Here is a 21209-nt window from a genome sequence, read left to right as displayed (position 1 = left end):
AGCTAACTCTCATCTTTTTATACATTAGTCCTGATTATTTCTATTTTGTGAAACAAGATTTTAATCCTTAATTCACTAAAAATGCTTGCCCTTCCTATAATAGTGTAAAAAGACCAGTTGATTTTTGTGCATGAAAATTATGAGCTAGGTATAACAACATCGTGTGTTTGGTGCCTACTCATCCCTAACAAACAATGTTCAGCTCTCAGTCTACTTCTCTGCATTGTATTTATAAAAAATAAATTGTGGCTCAGAGGTTAAGTAACTTCCCAAGGGAAGCTGGAAAGCAAAGAGCTTGCATAAGAACCCAAGATGGCTAGACCACCAATCTTCTGGTAGTCACCACAGGGAAAGTTTGATGAAATGATTTAAAAGATTGGAAAACTATTTGAAATAAACGCTCGTTTGCATTGATAGCTACTTTTGGAATATTTTTCTTCTAATCAAGAGTTTAAGAAATATTGTTAAAATGTATCTTACTGAGGAAAGTAACTTGCAAAAAACAGTACATTGCCAAAAGCAGTATACACATTGCCTAATCAACACTTAACCCAGTGTCTATGAACTTCACATTGCCTCACGCCATATGGAATGTGTTGATTCATTCACTGTTCCGTTTTTATCTACAATTTTGGTTTAACAAGGCTATGTATTTAAAATAATTTTTAAACTCTTTACAGGTAAGTCACTTTTGAGTTGTAAAATTCCAGAAGTGACTTTTCTTGAAGTAGGCTTTAATGAAAAATCTATTAATATACTGAAAACCAACTGTACACCAAAACAGGGCTGTTTATCTCCCTGACTTGTTTGAAGACTGAGTTGATAGCCACCTCAGACTTAGCTCATTCTCTTCCTATCCACATCTGCCCTCAATTTGGACTTTGGTTGGCTGTATTTATAAGTAAAAGGCCATGTTCTTTCACCTGCAGATATGCAGTTTTACCAGTGGTACCTGTGTTTGAAACCCACTGACTGTTCCTCCTTGTCCTGTTCCTTGTCCTAACTCCAGTCTCTCAACTTGGGATTTTCCTAATTTAATACCTTATTGTGTAGAATAGTGGCTCCCAAACTTTATTGTGTACGAAAATAGACCTGGTTGAAATGCAGATCCTCAGTTCTCATGCCCATTGCTTCTGACTTGGTTGGCTGGGGATGAAGTCCAGGAATCTGCACTTTGTTTTTTTTAAACCCCAACGTCTCCTATACCCATCATCCTACTAACCCCTCTTTGGGCTTTAAGGAATAGTAATAGGTGCTTCCCAATTACAGAAGGAGAGGCAGCACTTCTAAAAAGATGTTGTGTTGATGGGGAAGGTGATCCCTCTTCCTGACCTCTGGCCCTAGTGTCCTCAGGTTAACAGGAGACCAGTTTTTCTTCCTTATTAGCAATATCTGAGTACAGCTTTGGCTACCTGCAAAGAAAAATAAAGCAAAACCTTTCCCTTAATGGAAATTGAGGAGGAATCTGCACTTTTAATGATCATCCAGGTGGTTCTCATGTAGGTGCCCCAGGACTACCCTTTGACACTGCTCTAGCTGCCTAGAATGTTGTTTCTTTTATGTAAAAAAATACATACATATCTCAAGCATAGTAAGAATAATATGAAGTAACTCCGAGTGAATTGAGTCCATTCTTATAAATAAGCTTTTAAATTTTACACATGCCAAGGACTTTTAGCAGCCTTTTTGACCCTCGTGCTCTAAAAATGATCCGTCAGTGAGGAGAAGAGGCAGAATGAATAGTCCCTGACTTAAAATCATCCTTTTTTTTTTTTTTACATTGAAACTCTTGATTGAAACAGGATTCCTTTAAAGTCAGCCTCACTTTTTCTCAGGCCTGAATCTTAGAACATATTGTCAGATATTCAGCTGTGCTCTCGCCTCCAACCCACTTTTATTCCTAAATGTGTTCGTTTATACACGGAGTGTTTGCTGTTGTGATTTAAAAAAAAAAAAAAAAAAAAAAAAGCATCTGTTCTGCAGCATGCTGGCCAGTGAATGAGCTGAAAAACAGCAAATGGCCTTTGCAGGCTTCTCTTCAAGGGTGGGAGGAGGAACACTGGCAGGGAGAGGCTAGAACCTTAGGGGAGGCCCGGCTGGTACCTAGGCACCAAGATGGAGATGGAAGACAGGCTGGCTGGGTGGAATTGTCTTCCCACCTGTGAGTCACACTTTGTCAGCACTACCCAGTATAGGGGGGGAAAGGTCATTTTTTTACCTGCCTTATCTTGGAATCTTTTCAGCAGTGCTTCCACAAGAGAATTAAGCCCTACTACCCTGAGGCATCCATGGTACGTGTGAATTAACTTTGTCTTCTACATCTCAGGCTGGGAAAAATAGCCAGTCAGATCCCGCTGGGTGTTCTGTGGTTAGGCTCTCAAAGAGGCTGGAGTTCTAGGGCCGGGCATAGTGGCTCAAGCCAGTAATTCCAGCACTTTGGGAGGCTGAGGTGGACAGATCGCTTGATGCCCGGAGTTTGAGACCAGCCTTGCCAACATGGTGAAACCCCATATCTACTCAAAACACAACAACAACAAAGAGGCTGGAGTTGTAGATCCAGCTCCGTTATTTCCATTCTTCTTTGGTAAAATGAGATGTCTGATAATACCTATTTTATTCGTTCAGAGCATTGTTACATTAAATGAAACAAATGTGAGAGCACCTTGTAAAGTATGAACTGAGTTTTAAAGGTGAAGTGGCATTTATGGGAGGATTGATTTGATTGTGCAGGCCTTTTGTAAAAAGCAAGTTCCTAATAATTTATGATTTATGGAAGACTTTGAAATGAGCTCTTAGTGATTTGTTGATTTAATGCCCAGGAGTAATCAGAAAGGCATTTGGAGATAATTTGGAAATGTAGAAAAAGAACCTGGTCTACCACTTGTCTGCAAAATTTCTTGGTCATTTGACAAAGTATCTTTAGAGAGGCAAACCCTGGCACTATGTGAGTAGGGGATTATTCCACAGGCTGGGAAGACTTTCTACAAAGCATAAGAGTAACTCTGTTTCACTTTACTATCACCAATCTATACTGTTGGCAGAACAGGTGGTATTTGTTCCTACCTTCCATATCAGGACACGGAGGCCCAGGAAACTGGACATGCCTATTTGTGGGATAGTCTGGGTCCCACCTTTTTTTTCTTCTTTAGGCCACTGCCTGTCCACAAAGCATCAATTTGATGTTTAAAAATGACTTCTTGGTTACTTGTTCAGTGATGTTACTACCTCCAGTTTCAAACCAGATCAGACCTTGGCTTAAGGGGGTCACCTACATAGTCGCTTGCCATGGACGTGTGTCAGGATCGGATTTCCTCGGATTTCCCTTAGTAGAATGTTATGACATCATCACACTCCTACGGTAGAATGTAGTGTCCCCTCCTGCTTCTGGGGGTGGGGCACAAGAGAAGTGACAGTTCTGTTTACCCCGAGAAGTGTAATGGGTATGTACTGTTGAAGAAAGAAGTGAAGGAGCCCAGAACTGAGAGGAGGAGGCCGGTTTCCCAGGCGGCCAAGAGAGAGTGAGGGGCCCACTGCAGGCAGAGCTGGAGGCAGGCTGCTCTTCTCCATCCTAGATGGTGCAGAGAGGGGGATTTCGGGGTGGGGTGGGGGAGAGTCGCCACCCACAGCAGGCTGGCCAGAGCGTCTGGGAAAGGAGTATGTGTGCAGTTTGGGAATGGAATCATCTCTTTTTCCTGTTCGTCTCTTCTTTCTATGGTATTCTCTTATGTGGCGCTATGAAAATTTGCCTGGCACTTTTCTTTTTTATATTTTAGTTCTGATTTACATAAAATCTCCTCCAAATTAGGAAAATTCTATTGCGTATAATGTCAAGAACAATAGTAGCGGAAGGGAAAGACTTGAAGTGAGTGTACACTCCACCATAATAGCTACGTCTGTGTGTTCATATGCATCAAATTTGAATACGAGGCCAGCAATGCTGCTTTTTAACTGTTATATTTCTGTTATGGAACCCTAAGCCTGTCTTCCAGGAGTCTTCAAACACACTGGAATCAATGGACTCTTGCAAGCCGTAACAGTTATACAATTTATCTGCAAAGTTACTGTGGTCAGGCACTGGGGTGAGTGCTTCACCTGTGCTATTTCATCTTCTAGAGAAGGGACTAATAATATCTCCACTTTAAAAATGAAGAAATGTAGGCTTAGGCCAGGTGCGGTGGCTCATGCCTGTAATCCCAGCACTTTGGGAGGCCGAGGCAGGCAGATCATTTGAGGTCAGGAGTTCGAGACCAGCCTGGCCAACGTAGTGAAACCCTGTCTCCACTAAAAATACAAAAATTAGCCGGGTATGGTGGTGCATGCCTGTAATCCCAGCTACTCAGGGGGCTGAGGCAGGAGAATCGCTTAAACCTGGGAGGCCGAGGTTGCAGTGAGCTGAGATTGTGCCACTACACTCCAGCCTGGGTGATAGAGGAAGCCTCTGTCTCAAAAAAAACAAAACAAAACAAAACAAAAAGTAGGCTTAGAAAGTTTAAGTAATTTGCTCAAGTGATGTAGCAGCTGAGTGGTGTGACTGAGATTTGAACCCAAGTAATTTTGGCTCTATCCTATTAGGACATTTATTTATGTTCTTGAGCATTAAAATATTTTTGGTCGTCTCATAATGAACCATGCTACTCAGATATAAAAACTAGGAAAGCACTGTATCATTTCAAAAGAATATTAACAATGTCGGGCCATGGCTGTGTAATGCTTTTCTCTGTAAACAGTACATTTATCAATCAACAAAGGGAAATGAGTCTCTGTGAGATGGAAATAATAAAAGTCTGACCTTCCCCTCTGAGAAAAAGCCATGAGGACTAATTAAGTAATGGCTCCACTCCAGTTCTGCAGGGCTAAGTAATGAAGGACCTGGGAGGACTCCAGCTCTGTTTTCCAGAGATTATGTTTGACTGTGGCACTGGGCATTTTCCACATATCATCTTGATAATTACTTGAAAAGCAAAACTTAAAGCATTTCACTGATTACGATTTTTTTTTCTTGCTGAGATATCCATGATTTAAACTGTCAGGGAGGGTCACTGGCCTAGAATTCTTCTTGGGTGATTCATTGCAGAGTGAAAATACTGACTTCTAATCTCAATGTGGCCTTACATTTTAGAGATGTTTTTGTACATGAGTTTGCCTTCCTTTCCTTCTTCTCCTTCCTCCCCTTCCCTCCCTTCCTCCTTTCTTCCTTTTTCTTTTTTTTTTTTTCTCTTTTTCCTTAAATCCTGAGAACTGTATTTCCTCTTTTAAGCTAGATTGCTGGAGATAGCTTTCATGGTTTACAAACATGTATACAAAAGTTGCCCAGCAGTTCTCCTACAGATGGTGGTCTGTTGGTGTTCCTAATCATATATGTGCTTTTTTAAAAAATAGACTAATGGAATGATTAAAACAACAGAGGCCAGGCACAGTGGCTCACACCTGTAATTCCAGCACTTTGGGATGCTGAGGTGGGCGGATCATGAGGCCAGAAGTTCGAGACCAGTCTTACCCACATAGTGAAACCCCATCTCTACTAAAAAACAAAAAATTAGCCAAGTGTGGTGGTGTGCACCTGTAGTCCCAGCTACTCGGGAGGCTGTGGCAAGAGAATCGCATGAACCCGGGAGGTGGAGGTTGCAGTGAGCCGAGATCGTGCCACTGCATTCTAGCCCAGGTGACAGTGCGAGACTCTATCTCAAAAAAAAAAAAAAAAAAAAAAAATAGGGACAAAAAGACTACTTTGACTTTGTGTTTGTCTAATACCTTCTTTCAAACATTCGCATGTCCATGCTTGCTTGTTGCAAATTCGAAACAATTTTATGTTTGGTTTTGGCTTTGTGGGGTGTCTGATTAATTGAAAGTGAGTGGAATTCTGGAGAATGAGCAAGAAGAGACTAGGCTGAGGATAGGAGTGAGAGCACACACAGGTGGCACCATAAATCTCTCCTAAGCTGTAGTCAGTGCACAGGAAAGTCCATGGCCTAAAATCGGGGTTATGCACGCCCCCCACCGCCACACACACACGTTTATGTCACAGCTGCCGAGGAGCACTCTGAGAACCTTTAATACAGCGTTTACATGTGCATCCTTTAAAAAATACTTCATGAGTCTTTATGCCAAATAAATGTTTCCTTCGCAGCCCAGGCCACTTCCTTCAAACGAAAGCCATTAGTGTGAGCGATTACTGCAGCCCAGCTGTTCCCCAGCAGCACACCGGGCCAGTAAACAGAGCAAAGGTCTGTGCACAGCTGCAGGCTGATGTCACTGTCTGGGGCTGGGCCTGCTGCTTTGGACTATTACAATAACAGCAGTGAACCTCCTGTTCCCCCATCTGACCCATTTTCTCCCTTTCTCTTTCCCGTTTCTTCCCATGTGTCCTCTCTTCACCTCACTTATCAAAACGTCAGAGCTGCCTTTTTTTTTTTTGGTGAATAGAGGGAAACAGCCCTGTCCCATGGCTAATAGGAAAGGACTTCTGTGTATCCTATTTGGTTTTAAAGGCTGATGTGCCACAATTACATATTCAAAGCGACAGTATTTTTATCATAAACAGATGTGTTAAAATCAGCCAGGGTAGTCTGCTATTAACGTCAGCTTCGAAGCTCTTCTAGCCCAGGGCTTGGAGGCAGTCTCTTGTTTATTGCTGAGTCCCTGAGTTCACTTAGATGTTTCTGTCCCAGATATGAGCTTCCAGATGGGTTCAGATCTTGTTCCTGCTTTTTTATTTTTTAACTTTGGAAATACCGGAAATTTTAAGAGAAGCAAGTGAAAAGCCTGCGTGAAACTAGAATTTCTCTGACTAGAAGCTATTTGATACCTTCACCAACGGCTTGCAAAGTATGTTTCTGTTGTAGGTTTTCATAGAAAGTTCTAATACGAGATTCACACGAGGAGCCTTCAGAGTCGGAAAGTTACTTGGCAGAAGCTAATGCAGTGTTTACTCGTTTGACTAACATTGGACTTCTTGAGTCATTTTTTCTTCTGTGGTTACTAGTGTAATAGAAGGAAAAGTGAATGTGCAGAGAATGTTCTCCAGCAGTCAAGACCATCACTATCTTTCACTAAATTCTTTTAAAGGAGAAAAGAAACTTTTAATATTCAGTCCCAAAGGCTTGAGTTGCGTGCGATGGCCCCTGTAATCTGGCCTCCGTCTGTCTTTTTGGGTTCTATCTTCTCTGCTTTGTGAGTTTCTTAATCACCAAGGCTCACCGTTCTGTCGCCCATCATTGCTCATGCTGGGATAGGATTTTCATCCTTGATGCCTCAATTTTATTTCTATCATATGGCTTAATTTGAAAATCTACTGACCAAATCATAACCACAGTGATGTACTCATTAGGATGGCTGTTACATATATTTGAAAAAATCAAATAGGTTCTGGTGAGCATGTGGAGAAATTGGAACCCTTGTGTGTAGTACTGCTGATGGGAATGTAGAATGGTTCAACCACTATGGAAAAGAGTACCATAGTCCTTCAAATAATTAATAATAGAATTGCCATATGAGTCAGCAATTCCTTCTGGGTATATACACCAAAGAATTGAAAGCAGGGACTCGGGCATGTATTTGTCCCCCGGTGTTCATAGCAGCATTATTCACAGTAGCCAAAGGTGGAGGCAACCCAAGTGTCCGTGGATGGTAAGTGGATACACAAATGTCATCTGTACGTGCAATGGAATATTATCATTATTATTATTTGACACGGAGTCTTGCTCTGTCACCCAGGCTGGAGTGCAGTGGCGTTATCTTGGCTCACTGCAACCTGCACTGCTTGGGTTCAAGCGATTCTCCTGCCTCAGCCTCCCGAGTAGCTGGGACTACAGACGTGCGCCATCATGCCCCGCTAATTTTTGTATTTTTACTAGAGATGGGGTTTCACCATGTTGGCCAGGCTGGTCTCGAACTCCTGAACTCAAGCGATCTGCTTGCCTTGGCCTCCCAAAATGCTGGGATTACAGGCGTGAGCCACTGCACCCGGCCAACAATGGAATAATATTGAGCCTTCAAAAGGAAGGAAATTGTGACACATCCCACAGCTTGGATGAGCCTTGAGGACATACGCTAAATGAAATAAACAGTCACAACAGGACAAGTACTATTTGAGTCCAGGTATATGAGGTACTGAATGGTCAGATTCATAGAGAAAGAAAGTAAAATGGTCGCTGCCAGGGCCTTGGGGAAGGGGAGGGGATGGGTTGTTACTGTTTAATTGGTACGAAGTTTCAGGTTGGGGGGAAACGTTCTGGAGAATGGATGATGACAAAGCTTACACAACGATGTAAGTGTATTCAATGCCACTGAATCATACACCTAAAAATAATTAAAATGGTTAATTTGGTATCTGCTTCATCACAGTTTTTTTGTTTTTGTTTTTGAGATGAAGTCTTTCCCTGTCGCCAGGCTGGAGTGCGGTAGTGCGATCTTGGCTCACTGTAACCTCTGCCTCCCGGGTTCAAGCGATTCTCCTGCCTCACTCAGCCTGCTGAGTAGCTGGGACTACAGGCACACACCACCACGCCCAGCTAATTTTGTATTTTTAGTAGAGATGGGGTTTCACCATGTTGGCCAGGATGGTCTGGATATTTTGACCTCATGATCTGCACGCTTCGGCCTTCCAAAGTGCTGGGATTACAGGCGTGAGCCACTGTGCCCAGCCCTCATCACAGTTTTTATTTATTTATTTTTTAATTGTTTTAAAAATCTGACCAAACCTTTGGTCCACCCTGACTGGACGTAAACTATCCTGAGTGCCACTCCCTGGGCCCCAAGGTCTGGCCTGGTCCTGCCACTTCTCCTCTGTCTGTTGTCTCTTCCAGTAGAGGCCCCATCATGCGCCTTGCCAGCCCCAGCACAAGAAACAGCTTGGTAGAAAAGAAGGGGCACGGGCTTTGGGTGCAGGCAGAATCAGAATTCAGACTGCTCACCGAAACCCATCCTCTCACGCTTGCCAGCTCTGTGCCCCTGGGCAGATGATTTAGCCTCTCTGTGGCGGTTTCCTTATCTATATGTTTAGGAGGGTCCTCTGTGAGGGTTAAACAAGATAAAGAGCCCCATTCTGTGCCAGGCAACGAGAAATAGTTTTTGTTTTGGGGATTTTTTTTTAATGTTAAATCTTTGCCCTTCAATAAACATTTGTAGATTGATTTAATTTTTAAGGGTTCTCTTTGGCAGACACTATTCCTGCCATTATTTCAATGTGGCCTCCTTTTCCTCTGAAAGAATACTGACTGGGGGCAAGTGACTTGGGTATTTCTACCACCACATGGCAGGTTCCTGAGATAACAAGTTGACACCATTGTAGGAAATCTTCCTAAGAACCTGCCATTTTCACGTTCCTTAGGCCAAATAATTATTGATCTAAATTGTCCTTTTCTGTGCCCTAAAATAATCTTCTTCCTTCAACTCCTGATATGTTATTCCTTTCCAAAGAGAGGTAAGGGTTAATTTAACAGATTTGCCAGCAACCCTGTCGTATTAATCCACGAGTACTCTGGGGATGTGGACAGCATGTGTATCCCTGACAGTTACAGTAGTACCCTGTCTGCCTGTATTTACACATCGGTGACAGAAGACTGGGAATGTCCAAAGTCAGGCTTCCTAAGGAATTCAAGATTTTCTAGGATTTATTGTAGTGTGTGTACATATATCTTTGGTTGTGTTCTGCCATGTATTATATTGTTAGTCATTCTATTTTTGGTAGTTGTAGGGAAGAGCTAAGATGTTCTGATTTTCAATTATGTGTATCAGATTACTTTGCCCTTTTAAAATATATTAACTGGGAGGCCGAGGCAGGCGCATCACGAGGTCAGGAGTTAGAGAACAGCCTGACCAACATGGTAAAACCATGTGTCTACTAAAATACAAAAATTAGCTGGTCGTGGTGGCATGTGCCGTAATCCCAGCTACTGAGGAGGCTGAGGCAGGAGAATCGCTTGAACCTGGGAGTTGGAGGTTGCAGTGAGCCAAGATTGTGTCATTGCACTTCAGCCTGGGCAATACAGCAAGACTCTGTGTGTGTGTGTGTGTGTGTGTGTGTGTGTGTGTGTCTATATATATAGTGTATATATGTGTATATATGTATTATATATGTATATGTATATGCATGTATATATGCATACATATATGTACATATATACACATGTACACATAGATATATACATATATGCATGCATACATATGTATGCATATATACGTGCACATATGTACCTATGTATACATATATAAATTTTTTTAACCTTTCATTTTATATTGCTTTTTTTTTTTTTTTTTTTGAGATAGGGTCTTGCTCTGTTGCCCAACAGTTGCAGCCTCAATCTCCTGAGCTCAAGTGATCCTCCCACCTCAGCCTCCTCAGTAGCAGGGACTACAGGCCCACACCATCATGCCTGGATAATTTTTTTTTTTTTTTTTTAATTTTAAGAGATGGGTTTCCCTATGTTGTCCAGGCTGGTCATGAACTCCTAGGTGCAAATGATTCTCCTGCATCAGCTTCTTTTTTTTTTTGAGACGGAGTCTCTCTCTGTCGCCCAGGCTGGAGTGCAGTGGCGGGATCTCGGCTCACTGCAAGCTCCGCCTCCCGGGTTCACGCCATTCTCCTGCCTCAGCCTCCCAAGTAGCTGGGACTACAGGCGCCCGTCACTACGCCCGGCTAATTTTTTGTATTTTTAGTAGAGACGGGGTTTCACCGTTTTAGCCGGGATGGTCTCGATCTCCTGACCTCGTGATCCGCCCGCCTCGGCCTCCCAAAGTGCTGGGATTACAGGCGTGAGCCACCGCGCCCGGTCTCAGCTTCTTAAAATACTTGAATTATAGCACAAACCACCGTGCCTGGCCTATGTGGGTGCTTTTAAGATGTGTTTTTTTTTCCCTAAGATATTTGTGCTCTGGTGATTTGCGTTTAATAGAGGCTAATATTTTATTTTTATTAGTTTTGAAATAACAAATTATAATCAACTCAAATTAACTACAAGTTTAAGGTCCACTTGTTTCTTTTTTTTTTTTTTTTTTTTTTTGAGACAGAATCTCACTCTGTCGCCCAGGCTGGAGTGCAGTGGCGCAATCTCGGCTCACTGGAAGCTCCGCCTCCTGGGTTCACGCCATTCTCCTGCCTCAACTTCCCGAGTAGCTGGGACTACAGGCGCCCACCACCACACCCGGCTAATTTTTTGTATTTTTAGTAGAGACAGGGTTTCACCGTGGTCTCGATCTCCTGACCTCATGATCCACCTGCCTCGGCCTCCCAAAGTGCTGGGATTACAGGCGTGAGCCACCGCGCCCGGCCGGTCCACTTGTTTCTTATCCCTCGTCTTTCCTGCTCTTGTGTGAGCTTCTACCACACTGGCTGGCTGGGAGAGGGAGGAGTCGCTTGTCCTAAGAAATGTCTCTGCCTGGCCAAGGCTCTTTTCTTGACCACTGCATTGACTGGTCACCACATGAGAGGGGATCTTCTCTTAGAAACCTGGGTCTTCTGAAGTACTTCTCTTACTGCTTGGGAGTCAGTTTTTTGAATGTGGGGTGGGGGGGGGTTTTGTTTGTTTGTTTTTGAGATGGAGTCTCAGTCTGTCACCCCGGCTATAGTGCAGTGGCGTGATCTTGGCTCACTACAACCTCCGCCTCCCGGGTTCAAGCAATTCTCCTGCCTCACCCTCCCGAGTAGCTGGGATTACAGGCACCTGCTACCATGCCCGGCTAATTTTTGTATTTTTAAGATAGACAGGGTTTTACCATGTTGACCAGGCCGGTCTTGAACTCCTGACCTCAGGTGATTCCCCCACCTCAGCCTCCCAAAGTGCTGGGATTACAGGTGTGAGCCACTGCGCCCTGCCCTCGTGTTCCTTTTTACAGTTCACTTCCATACTGTTATATTTGAAGACATGGTCACTAGAGACCCAAGACATCATGGGTGTATGCTTCAGGTGTCATCACAGCTGTGTGTGACTGTAATGAATATAGGACATTTCACAAATAAAATGACCTCTTCCCTCTTCTTTCTCCTCTGTTTTCAGTCACTGCTTCAACCACCTGTGAGAAATTAGAAAAAGCCAGGAATGAGTTACAAACAGTGTATGAAGCATTCGTCCAGCAGCACCAGGCTGAAAAAACAGAACGAGAGAATCGGCTTAAAGAGTTTTACACCAGGGAGTATGAAAAGCTTCGGGACACTTACATTGAAGAAGCAGAGAAGTACAAAATGCAATTGCAAGAGCAGGTCTGTGCTTTTGCAGCCAGAGCTTGTCTGAGGCCTCTGCTGCTTACTTGAATCCTGGTTGCTCTTCACATCTTGATGAGCTTCTCTTTTTTAGTCTAATAGGTATAAAAAGCATGTTGTTGTTGTTTATTTAAGACAGAGTCCCACTCTGTCTCCCAGGCTGGAGGCTGGAGTACAGTGGCTTGATCTTGGCTCACTGCAGCCTCTGCCTCCCGGGTTCAAGTGATTCTCCTTCCTCAACCTCCTGAGTAGCTGGGACTATAGGCACCCATCACCATGCCCAGCTAATTTTTGTATTTTTAGTAGAGACGGGGTTTCACCATGTTGGCCAGGCTGGTCTCAAACTCCCAACCTCAGGTGATCCGCCTGCCTTGGAAACAGTATCTTTTTAATTGAATAGTTTTCTTATGACCAAAGGAATGTATTATGTTAAGTGAAAGAAGGGAAGAAAAGGAGGAGGAAAAGATAAAATTGAAAAAACAACCCTTTCTTTCTACCCAGAAATAATCCCTTGTAAACATCCTGGTGGTGTGTTGCCAAACTATTGTTTTGCATTTCTTTCTTTTTTTTTTTTTTAGTGGCATCTGTTTAAATATCCCATTTTTTTTTTCACTGAATAAAATATCAAACCTTTTTAATTTTGTAGCTCCCTTTTTAACTCAGTTTTTCATTTAGTAAATATCTACAGAGTGCCTACTCCAGGCCAGGCACATGCTAGGGCCTGAGTGGTCAAGTGACAGGCGCAGAGCATGTGGCCCTGTCACTGTGAAACATATCCTCGTTCCTGGTCATTCCTTGTGACTGATGCAGCCATTTCCATCTGTCACCCTGGAGAGCCTCTGTGTCTGTGTTCCTGAGGGTAGGGAAGGAGACAGAGGAGAGTTGAGCGGTGAATCCCAGTTGCGTTGCTCTTCATGCATTCTTTGTGTGTGCACATGTGGGGACAGAGTCTCGCGACATTGCCCAGGCTGGACTTGAACTGCTGGGCTCCAAGTGATCCTCCACCTCTGCCTCCCAGAGTGCTGAGGTTACAAGTGTGAACCACTGCCCTGACCTTTGTATGTGTTGAGGAGCCTTTAAACTAGAGCCCACGCTTACCTGTGAAGCTGTGACGTCTCCTAATGTGGTTGCTTTGCGTATTCAACTTAGGACATTTGGTTTTACTGTTAAACCACGGTTTTGTTTGTTGCTTACAGTTTGACAACTTAAATGCTGCGCATGAAACCTCTAAGTTGGAAATTGAAGCTAGCCACTCAGAGAAACTTGAATTGCTAAAGAAGGCCTATGAAGCCTCCCTTTCAGGCAAGGATGCTTTTTTTCCTCTTTAAACAGAATAAAATCTGAAGGAACCACATGATGTTTTAAGATGGAAATGATTCATAACTTCCTGCTTCAGCGAATGCCCTGTGGCCTTCAGGCTGGGGTGTTCTTGGTTCCTTTTTGCGTGGTTTATTGTTAACAGATGCCTTTTCCCACTAAGGATGCAAATAATAGTTACAAATGCCAGCCTTGTGTTAAATAGGATGGGCTTTGGAAGACTGTAAAGGCCATTTTGGCGGTGGTGGTTGCCAGCTTAGGTCCCTGGGAAGTGGCAAGTACAAGTTTCTATCTTGTAATCCACAGTAAAGGATCCACCCCAAGTGCTCCTGCACAGCAGTGTTGCTGTGAAATGTCGATGCCACTTATTGAATAGAAAAATAGTCTTTTCTATTTTTCATCTGTCATCAGTGGGAGGGTGTAAGCCATTGCTTTCAGAACAGAATCGGCAGTGTCGCTCACAGTCTTTCTACTAAACCAGTTGCATCTTACAGAGCAGCGTGGATGAGTGCTAAGAACCGGCTGTGTGACCTTCAGCAAGGACTTTCTCACCACAAAAATAGAGTTGCCCAAAGTCAGGCAGAGGTGATAATGTGTAAAAGTGACTGGCTCCAGGCAGACTTGTAGTGAACATTGTTTTTCTTCCTTCCTGCTAGAAATGAGTATAATTTTAGACTTATGTTTAGGTTATGAAGAGCAAATTGAAAAGAGCACAGGGTTTCCAGACCAGGAGTCTGGAGTGGCATTTATGAGAGCCTGCCCTGAAATGGCACTCAGTGTTGTCCTAAGGTCGCATGGCCTCTGTGGGCCATGGTGGGCTTCAGTGGGCCTCAGGGCTCTCAGTCATAAAATGGGAATGTCTACCCTAACCACCTCTCAAGGCCATTTTGAGAACAGATGGCCAATTTACATAAAAGCATACTATAGATGTAAAGTAACGTCATACGGCTTCATCATCAACCCCTACATCTATATGCTTTAACTGTTTTAGAGTACATTGATCTCATAGAATGTTATTGCCTCAAAAATATCCGTTTATTTTCCCAGAAATTAAGAAAGGCCATGAAATAGAAAAGAAATCGCTTGAAGATTTACTTTCTGAGAAGCAGGAATCGCTAGAGGTGGGTGAATGTCAATATCCCAGTATCCCCCACAAAAAAAAATATCATTTTTGATTTTGTTTGGTTTTAATGTTTCTGTGTACGTATGCTGAGTTTCTGGGGTTTTCTTGTTAACTTAAGTTCCACATTTCATTGTGTTTTAGAAGCAAATCAATGATCTGAAGAGTGAAAATGATGCTTTAAATGAAAAATTGAAATCAGAAGAACAAAAAAGAAGAGCAAGAGAAAAAGCAAATTTGGTAAGTTGTGTGTGCTCCTTTATCAGTATGGAATTTTTCTTCTCAGTTGCCTTTTAGAGTCATTCAAGTACTCAGCAGCCAGAGAAATAACACAGGTTGGGAATCCTTCTCATGTCTGGCAATGTGCTTTCTAAGGTGTGTAAAACAACTGCTTTGCTTACTGGCGTCTTGTTTTACCATCCTAAAATCTGACATACGGATGAAGTCCAGGATGTTTCTGGTGGTCTAAGCTAAAAAGAAGGAAACTACCAATTAGGATTAGAGTTTTATGTGAAGACTTTATTTAAAAAAAAAATCACTGTATTGAGATAAAACAAACTACAAAGTTCACTCTTTCTTTTTTTTTTTTTGAGAGGGAGTCTCACTCTGTCACTCAGGCTGGAGTGTAGTGGCGTGATCTCGGCTCACTGCAACGTCCACCTCCTGGGTTCAAGCGAGTCTCCTGCCTCACCCTCCCGAGTAGCTGGGATTACAGGCACGCATCACCATGGCCAGCTAATTTTTGTATTTTTAGTAGAGATGGGATTTTACCATGTTGCCCAGGAAAAGTTCACTCTTTTAACATGTAAAATTCAGTGGCTTTTAGTATATTCATAAAGTTGTCCATTGGTCACCAGTACCTCTTTCTAGAACATTTTTATCACCCCCAAAAGGAACCCTGGACCCATTAGCAGTCACTCCCCATTCCCCCAAATTCCCCAGCACCAGGCTCTCCCCCGTCTACTTTCTATCTCTATGGATTTACTTATTCTGAGGAATGAATAGAAAAGGTTGATTGTAGAACATGTGGTCCTTTTAAGACTGGCGTCGTTTACTTAGTATAAAGTTTCCAAGGTTCATCCGTGGTGTAGCCTATGTTAGTATTTCATTTCTTTTTATGGATGAATAATATTTCGCCGTATGGATAAATGTCAATTCTGAAAAGTACAAATCTCTTGGAAGCTGAAATTTCTTGTGGCACATTTGTCCTTTTTCCCCAGCCTTACCCCAACCTTTGTCTTTTTGAAAAAAATTTGTTTCCTTGCTGCTTCTGCCTTTAGTACCACTGTTTTCATTTCATGTTTATACTCTGAGACTGCAGAAGCAAAGCTTTTCTCCACTTCAAATCTCTGGCCAGCTCTAGAAAGTACATGTGTGGATCTCTCAGTGAGACCTTCTGCAAATAATGTCATTGGGAGACCCTCTAGCTATTTGATAACATTAGATGAGCTTATATTCAAAGAAACTTCAAAGCTATTTATTCTAGAAGATTCTTAGGAAGAGTCAGTGATTTCAAAAGAAATCTAGACTTACATGCAGGGATATGCAGGGTATAAACTTTATTGATGGCTCAGGAAACAGGTTTGAAAGAGCTTCCGGTACACAAAGGGGATTCTTCTACTGCAGCCGCTTTTGAAAAGCTAAGGCAGAGTCAGAGTGAGGAACACAGAAGCATCCAACCGCTTCTGTCACGTAAGCATGCTGAGGCTGCGGAAAAAGAGTGCGTCTGACTGTAGTCCGGGAGAAAGGGATGGGCTGGCAGAGGAGGAGGAGAAAATGCAGAGGGTACAAGTCTTGTAAATGCTCTAATTTTAAAACTGACGGTAAGTTATGCCATTTCCCTCTAACAAAAATGAGGTAGGATTCGCTATTTTCAAGGTAAAAAAAAAAAAAAAAATCCTGCGTACAAGGGTAACACTGTATAAAATGTATGAAATTTAAAAATTGATACTTAGTATTTGCATGTACTTATGGGGTACGTGTGATGTGTTGAGACAATCATAGACTGTGTAATGCCCAAGTCAGGGTATTTAGGGTATCCGTCATCATTATCATTTCTTTGTGTTTGGAACATTTTATATCTTCTCTTGTAGCTATTTTGAAGTACGCAATATATTATTATTAACTATAGTCACCCTACTATGTTCTTGAACACTAGAACCTATTCCTTCTGTCTAACTGTATGTTTGTATGCATTAACCAACCTCTCCTCATCCCACCCCACCCCACCTCCCACCATACACACGCATACCTCTCCTAGCCTCAGGGAACTATCTAAAGAACCTAGAATTAAAGATGTATTAGTCCCTGCCCTGACCCTTTCCAGCTCTGGAAGCTTTCCTGATCTTTCCTGAGTAGGGCGCTTAACCCGTGGAACACGTTTCCTCTTTCTGTGTGAAGTAAGGGGTTTGGATTAAGTAATCCCCGAGGCCCCTTCCTGGATTCTCCCTAAGGATTGGTCCAGAGCAGAAACCAATGCCCCGGAAGATAAGCTTGATGACCACACCACCGACTCTTACCTAAGACGTTGCTTCATTAAACATATCTGATCAGTGGACCATATGCTGTTCTTCTGTAGCATAAATTTTGAATGGTTTAGTTGAATTTCCGAATAAAGCAAGGAGTGGGTGGGCGGTGGTGGGAAATCCACACTGATGGTGTGCTCTCAGAGGACGCCTCCCCTGATGTAGCATTTATTTTGGAGAGTTTTGTGTTTTTGAGACAGGATCTTGTTCTGCCACCAGGTTAGAATGCAGTGGTGCATTCACAGTTCACTGCAGCCTTGACCTCCTGGCTCAGTTGATCCTCCCGCCTCAGCCTCCTGAGTAGCTGGGACTGTAGGCATATGCCACTATGCCTGGCAAACTTGTAATTTTTGGAGAGAAATTTAAATAGGCTGTGTACTCCATGCCGTGTAGGTACTGGGGTGTCACAATAGAAAATGATAGTATTATGTCTGCCCTAGAAGTATGGCCCAGTCAACGTAGCCCCATCATAACAAAAATCCAAACACTCAGGACATTGTTATCCCTGTTGTTTTCCAGAGAGCCGTATAATGCACTGCTTTTTCTTTCCTGATCAGTTTGTTTGGTAGGAGAGAACTGTTGTTCCCTGTTCTCCCAGAAAATGCCAATAACTGACTCACAGATTGCCTCATCTCCAGCCAAGATTCTGTTTTGTATGTAAGCAAAGTTTTTCTCTTGATACAATAACATGTTTGATGCAACTCACATTTTTGCATATTAAGTTACTGATAAATAAGTGAAATGTTTGCTTTCAGTATTAGGACCAGTCTTCGACATTAAGGTGCTCTTGTTTTTCACCTCTTTCTTTGAAATTGCTCTAAGATGATGAACATCTGTCGCTTGCTACTTGTCTAATGTCTCAATCTAATCAAAGATTCTTTCTGTTAAGAATTTGAACTATGTGGAATAAGAGCAGTATCTTGCTGTGTCCTTTCCAGAAAAATCCTCAGATCATGTATCTAGAACAGGAGTTAGAAAGCCTGAAAGCTGTGTTAGAGATCAAGAATGAGAAACTGCATCAACAGGACATCAAGTTAATGAAAATGGAGAAACTGGTATGTTTCCTTCAGAATGAAAGAGGATCTTACAAATGGGGTAATATGTGTGAAATTGAGCCCTGCATTTTAGAACTGTGGAGTTGGGTTAACTGCTCCTAAAGATATTTAGAAATTATACAAAAGATAAAGTTCACATTTTCTTTCCAAGTTTGTTCCATATTTATTCATTGCTGCCTCCTAGAATGTTTTCTTTTTCAAGGAACATGTAAAACAGCACCCAGTCCTTGGAAAAACTACAAACAAATCAGGCTTATATTTCAGTGGTATTTTGGATCTTCACCTGCATAAGAAAAATGTTTAAATATCTATGTAAAATCAGTACTTTAATATACCAGCCACCCTGGACAGGTTTCTTAGATCCAAAACAGTTGGATACGTTTAATAGAAATGAATAGAAATGAATTTAATAGAAATGAATAGCAATACTATTTATCAAAATTCTTCATCTTGCTTCTTGTGAATTAGCATGTGATAAAAGAATCGTGGGCTGGGCGCAGTGGCTCATTCCTCTAATGCCAGCAGTTTAGGGAGGTTGAGATGGGTGGGTCACTTGAGGTCAGGAGTTCGAGACCAGCCTGGCCAACATGGTGAAACCCTGTCTCTACTAAAAATATAAAACTTAGCCGGGTGTGGTGGTGGGTGCCTGTAATCCCAAGTACTGGGAAGGTGGAGGTTCCATTGAGGTGAGATGGCACCAGTGCATTCCAGCCTGGGCGACATAGCAAGACTCCATCTCAAAAAAAAAATTGTGCTATAATAAGATTAATCCATTTGGACAAGTAGCAGGTGTTACCAAAAATATGAATTAACATTCACTTTGCAGTGTCTAGAACAGAGAACGATGTTAGTGTGAGTGGCATGTTCAGTGTTCAGCGTCAGTCTTGGCCCGGCCCTGAAATACAGCTGCTGCCAGCCAGGACTCTAACCAAGTTGGCAGAGTTTGGCAAGGCAGCTTAAGTGATCCCCGCCCTCGCGGTGCCTTGCTGTTGACTGTCCAGCTGCCGCATGCTACTGGCCTCTTCTCCCCACAGTGATGAGTGACTCAGGCTTCTACAAGTGCCTCATTCAAACCCAAACCAGCCCTGGACAGTAGGGGACATGGGGGACCTCTCTGCTGCTTGGTTTGTGTTGGTTTGGCGTTTGGTTTTCTTCTGGAGACTATGACTTCTGTTGAGGGAGATAACGGCCAAGCCCCTGTGTGGATATACCAGCATTTTGAATTATCAGGAAATTTTTGTAAAGGAAGGAAAGGAACTCATGGTTGTTAATGGGCCAACCTAGTATACATACCAGTTCCTGCCAAAGGTCGTCCTGTTCGACTGAGTCTGGTATCTTCTAATCTGGTAGTCAGGGATGACTCAGATGATCCTGTTAATAGGACTGCTCCATATGCCATTCATGCATCAAAACTTTCAAAAAATCATGTGCAATAAATCAGACTTTGCTGTAAACTTACCAACACATTTAATTTCTGATGATCTACTATTTGTTTCTTGCCATGCCCCAGAGGTATCCTGATAATATCCTTCAGCCTTGCATTGTGTATGTGTGCAAGAATGAGTTGATACAATGAGAGGGAGACCCACTGTTCCCTTCATATTTGTAAATTACAGGCCTCTGATGAAATTAAGAGACTTAGAAGCACAGGAAGTTTTCTAAGAAAGACAGCTTTCCCATGAAACCGGCACTGCCCATAATCAGCTCTGTGACATTATTAGGACTAGTTTCCCTAGGATGAGATATTTAAAGGACAATACCTCCCAATCTCAAATTCCAGGTTTTTTTCCACGTTGTTTTATCTGGGAATCCTTCATAATTACTGAACGTAGACTCCTTTTCTGGAAAGTGATTTAACCTGAACAGGTTGTCCTGAGCTGCTTCTGGATAACAGGATGTCTTAAGAACAATCAGGTTCCAAACTAAGCAACATACTCAAAGCGCGTTAGTCCTGCTACAAGGACAAGGACTTAGACTTAATCCTGACGGAGCTATAATATTGCCTCTTCATAAAGCCTTACCTTTAGAAAGTGAGTGGGGGATGGAATCAGGTCTTCATCATGTTAAGTGATTAAATGTCCTCAGGCATCTTATCCTTTCATCTCTCCGCTGATCAGTTTGTTTGCCTTGAAAGTTCAGCCTGCACAGGGCAGCAAGAGAACAGACCTATCTATCTTCAGCTGACCTGAGGAGACTCGTGGCATGTTACTTCTTTGATGGCATGCTCTAAGAGCTCTATCGAATTGAAGCTTTGTATGGCCACTCAGACGCAAATGCTGAAAACTTACCATGAAACTGAGTTCAAGTCCATAGTAAACGTTGCCAGGGACTGTGAATTGCTGGCCTGTGAGTTTTCATCAGATGTGGGAATCTTTTTTTTTTTTTTTCCAGCAAAATTCACCGTAAGGAGATAGATAAGCTTTGATAAGTGTGGGCAGTGTGTCTGCAGGGTTTATTTCACATTGAAACAGAAAGAGGCACCAATTCTTAGAGAATTCCAAAACAACATGACCTGGAACAAATCTGTTACCCACTCGTATCAATATTTAAGTGTCCTGGCATACATGTTTTAAAAATACCCAGCCGCTCTGTTTTGCTGTTTTAAAATCTTTTTCAGTATGTTTGTTAGTGTATAAATATTTTAATATGGAATTGCATTTTCCTTAATTAAATCTCCAAAGTGTGCTTGTGTCGTGAGGTGCCTTAAGAAATGAGGGGTTTTTTTTTTAATATTGTATAAATGTTGGAATTCTTGTTTATGCCAAGGTGGACAACAACACAGCATTGGTTGACAAATTGAAGCGTTTCCAGCAGGAGAATGAAGAATTGAAAGCTCGGATGGACAAGCACATGGCAATCTCAAGGTAAAAATAAAACAGTGCTGTTTCTCCCGAGCTCCCCGCTCCCTTGGACATCCAGTGTACTTTCTGGACACGCTCTACCCCTGCACCTCCTGGAAATATGATGGAAGCAGATGGTTAAAAGGGCATTGATTT

At 42.5% G+C, this 21209-nt stretch overlaps 1 protein-coding gene and 1 long non-coding RNA gene across 15 annotated transcripts in view, besides 2 other annotated features; one reads left to right on the top strand and one right to left on the bottom strand.

The window, feature by feature from the left end:
• The window catches only part of MTUS1 (microtubule associated scaffold protein 1), a 157720-nt gene that overhangs the window by 133463 nt on the left and 3048 nt on the right, over positions 1–21209 (top strand). For all 13 annotated transcript variants that reach the window (NR_156437.2, NM_001363061.2, NM_001363060.2 and 10 more), the window contains 6 exons: positions 11994–12196; positions 13393–13498; positions 14561–14634; positions 14778–14873; positions 18097–18213; positions 20980–21077. Coding sequence is in view for 12 of the 13 variants with exons in the window: in NM_001363061.2 (NP_001349990.1) it covers positions 11994–12196; positions 13393–13498; positions 14561–14634; positions 14778–14873; positions 18097–18213; positions 20980–21077 (694 nt within the window). In the remaining variant the exon portion in view is untranslated. The remainder of the gene's footprint in view (positions 1–11993; positions 12197–13392; positions 13499–14560; positions 14635–14777; positions 14874–18096; positions 18214–20979; positions 21078–21209) is intronic.
• Positions 6085–6379: an enhancer, noted in NCBI's record as "tiled region #10631; HepG2 Activating DNase matched - State 5:Enh, and K562 Activating non-DNase unmatched - State 22:ReprW". NCBI's record gives its function as "activates a minimal TATA promoter and a strong SV40 promoter by Sharpr-MPRA in HepG2 cells, with weaker activation in K562 cells {active_cell/tissue: HepG2 | K562}" and the evidence as "EXISTENCE:reporter gene assay evidence [ECO:0000049][PMID:27701403]".
• Positions 8177–8677: an enhancer, noted in NCBI's record as "H3K27ac hESC enhancer chr8:17516891-17517391 (GRCh37/hg19 assembly coordinates)". NCBI's record gives its function as "activates a minimal SCP1, AML or CMV promoter by ChIP-STARR-seq in naive H9 embryonic stem cells {active_cell/tissue: H9 hESC(naive)}" and the evidence as "EXISTENCE:reporter gene assay evidence [ECO:0000049][PMID:30033119]".
• Positions 18102–20980, bottom strand: LOC124901891 (uncharacterized). Of its 2 annotated transcripts, none has more exons than XR_007060833.1 (2): positions 19507–20980; positions 18102–19410 (listed from the first exon to the last, which is right to left on the bottom strand). It is a non-coding gene; the product is annotated as an uncharacterized LOC124901891 (long non-coding RNA). The 2 variants fall into 2 exon arrangements; XR_007060834.1 differs by having other exon boundaries at positions 18102–18496.

Source organism: Homo sapiens, chromosome 8, assembly GCF_000001405.40.
Source record: "Homo sapiens chromosome 8, GRCh38.p14 Primary Assembly".
Taxonomy (NCBI): Eukaryota; Metazoa; Chordata; class Mammalia; order Primates; family Hominidae; genus Homo; species Homo sapiens.
The sequence above is the reverse complement of the archived record's forward strand: the minus strand, read 5'-3'. Positions and strand labels throughout refer to the sequence as shown.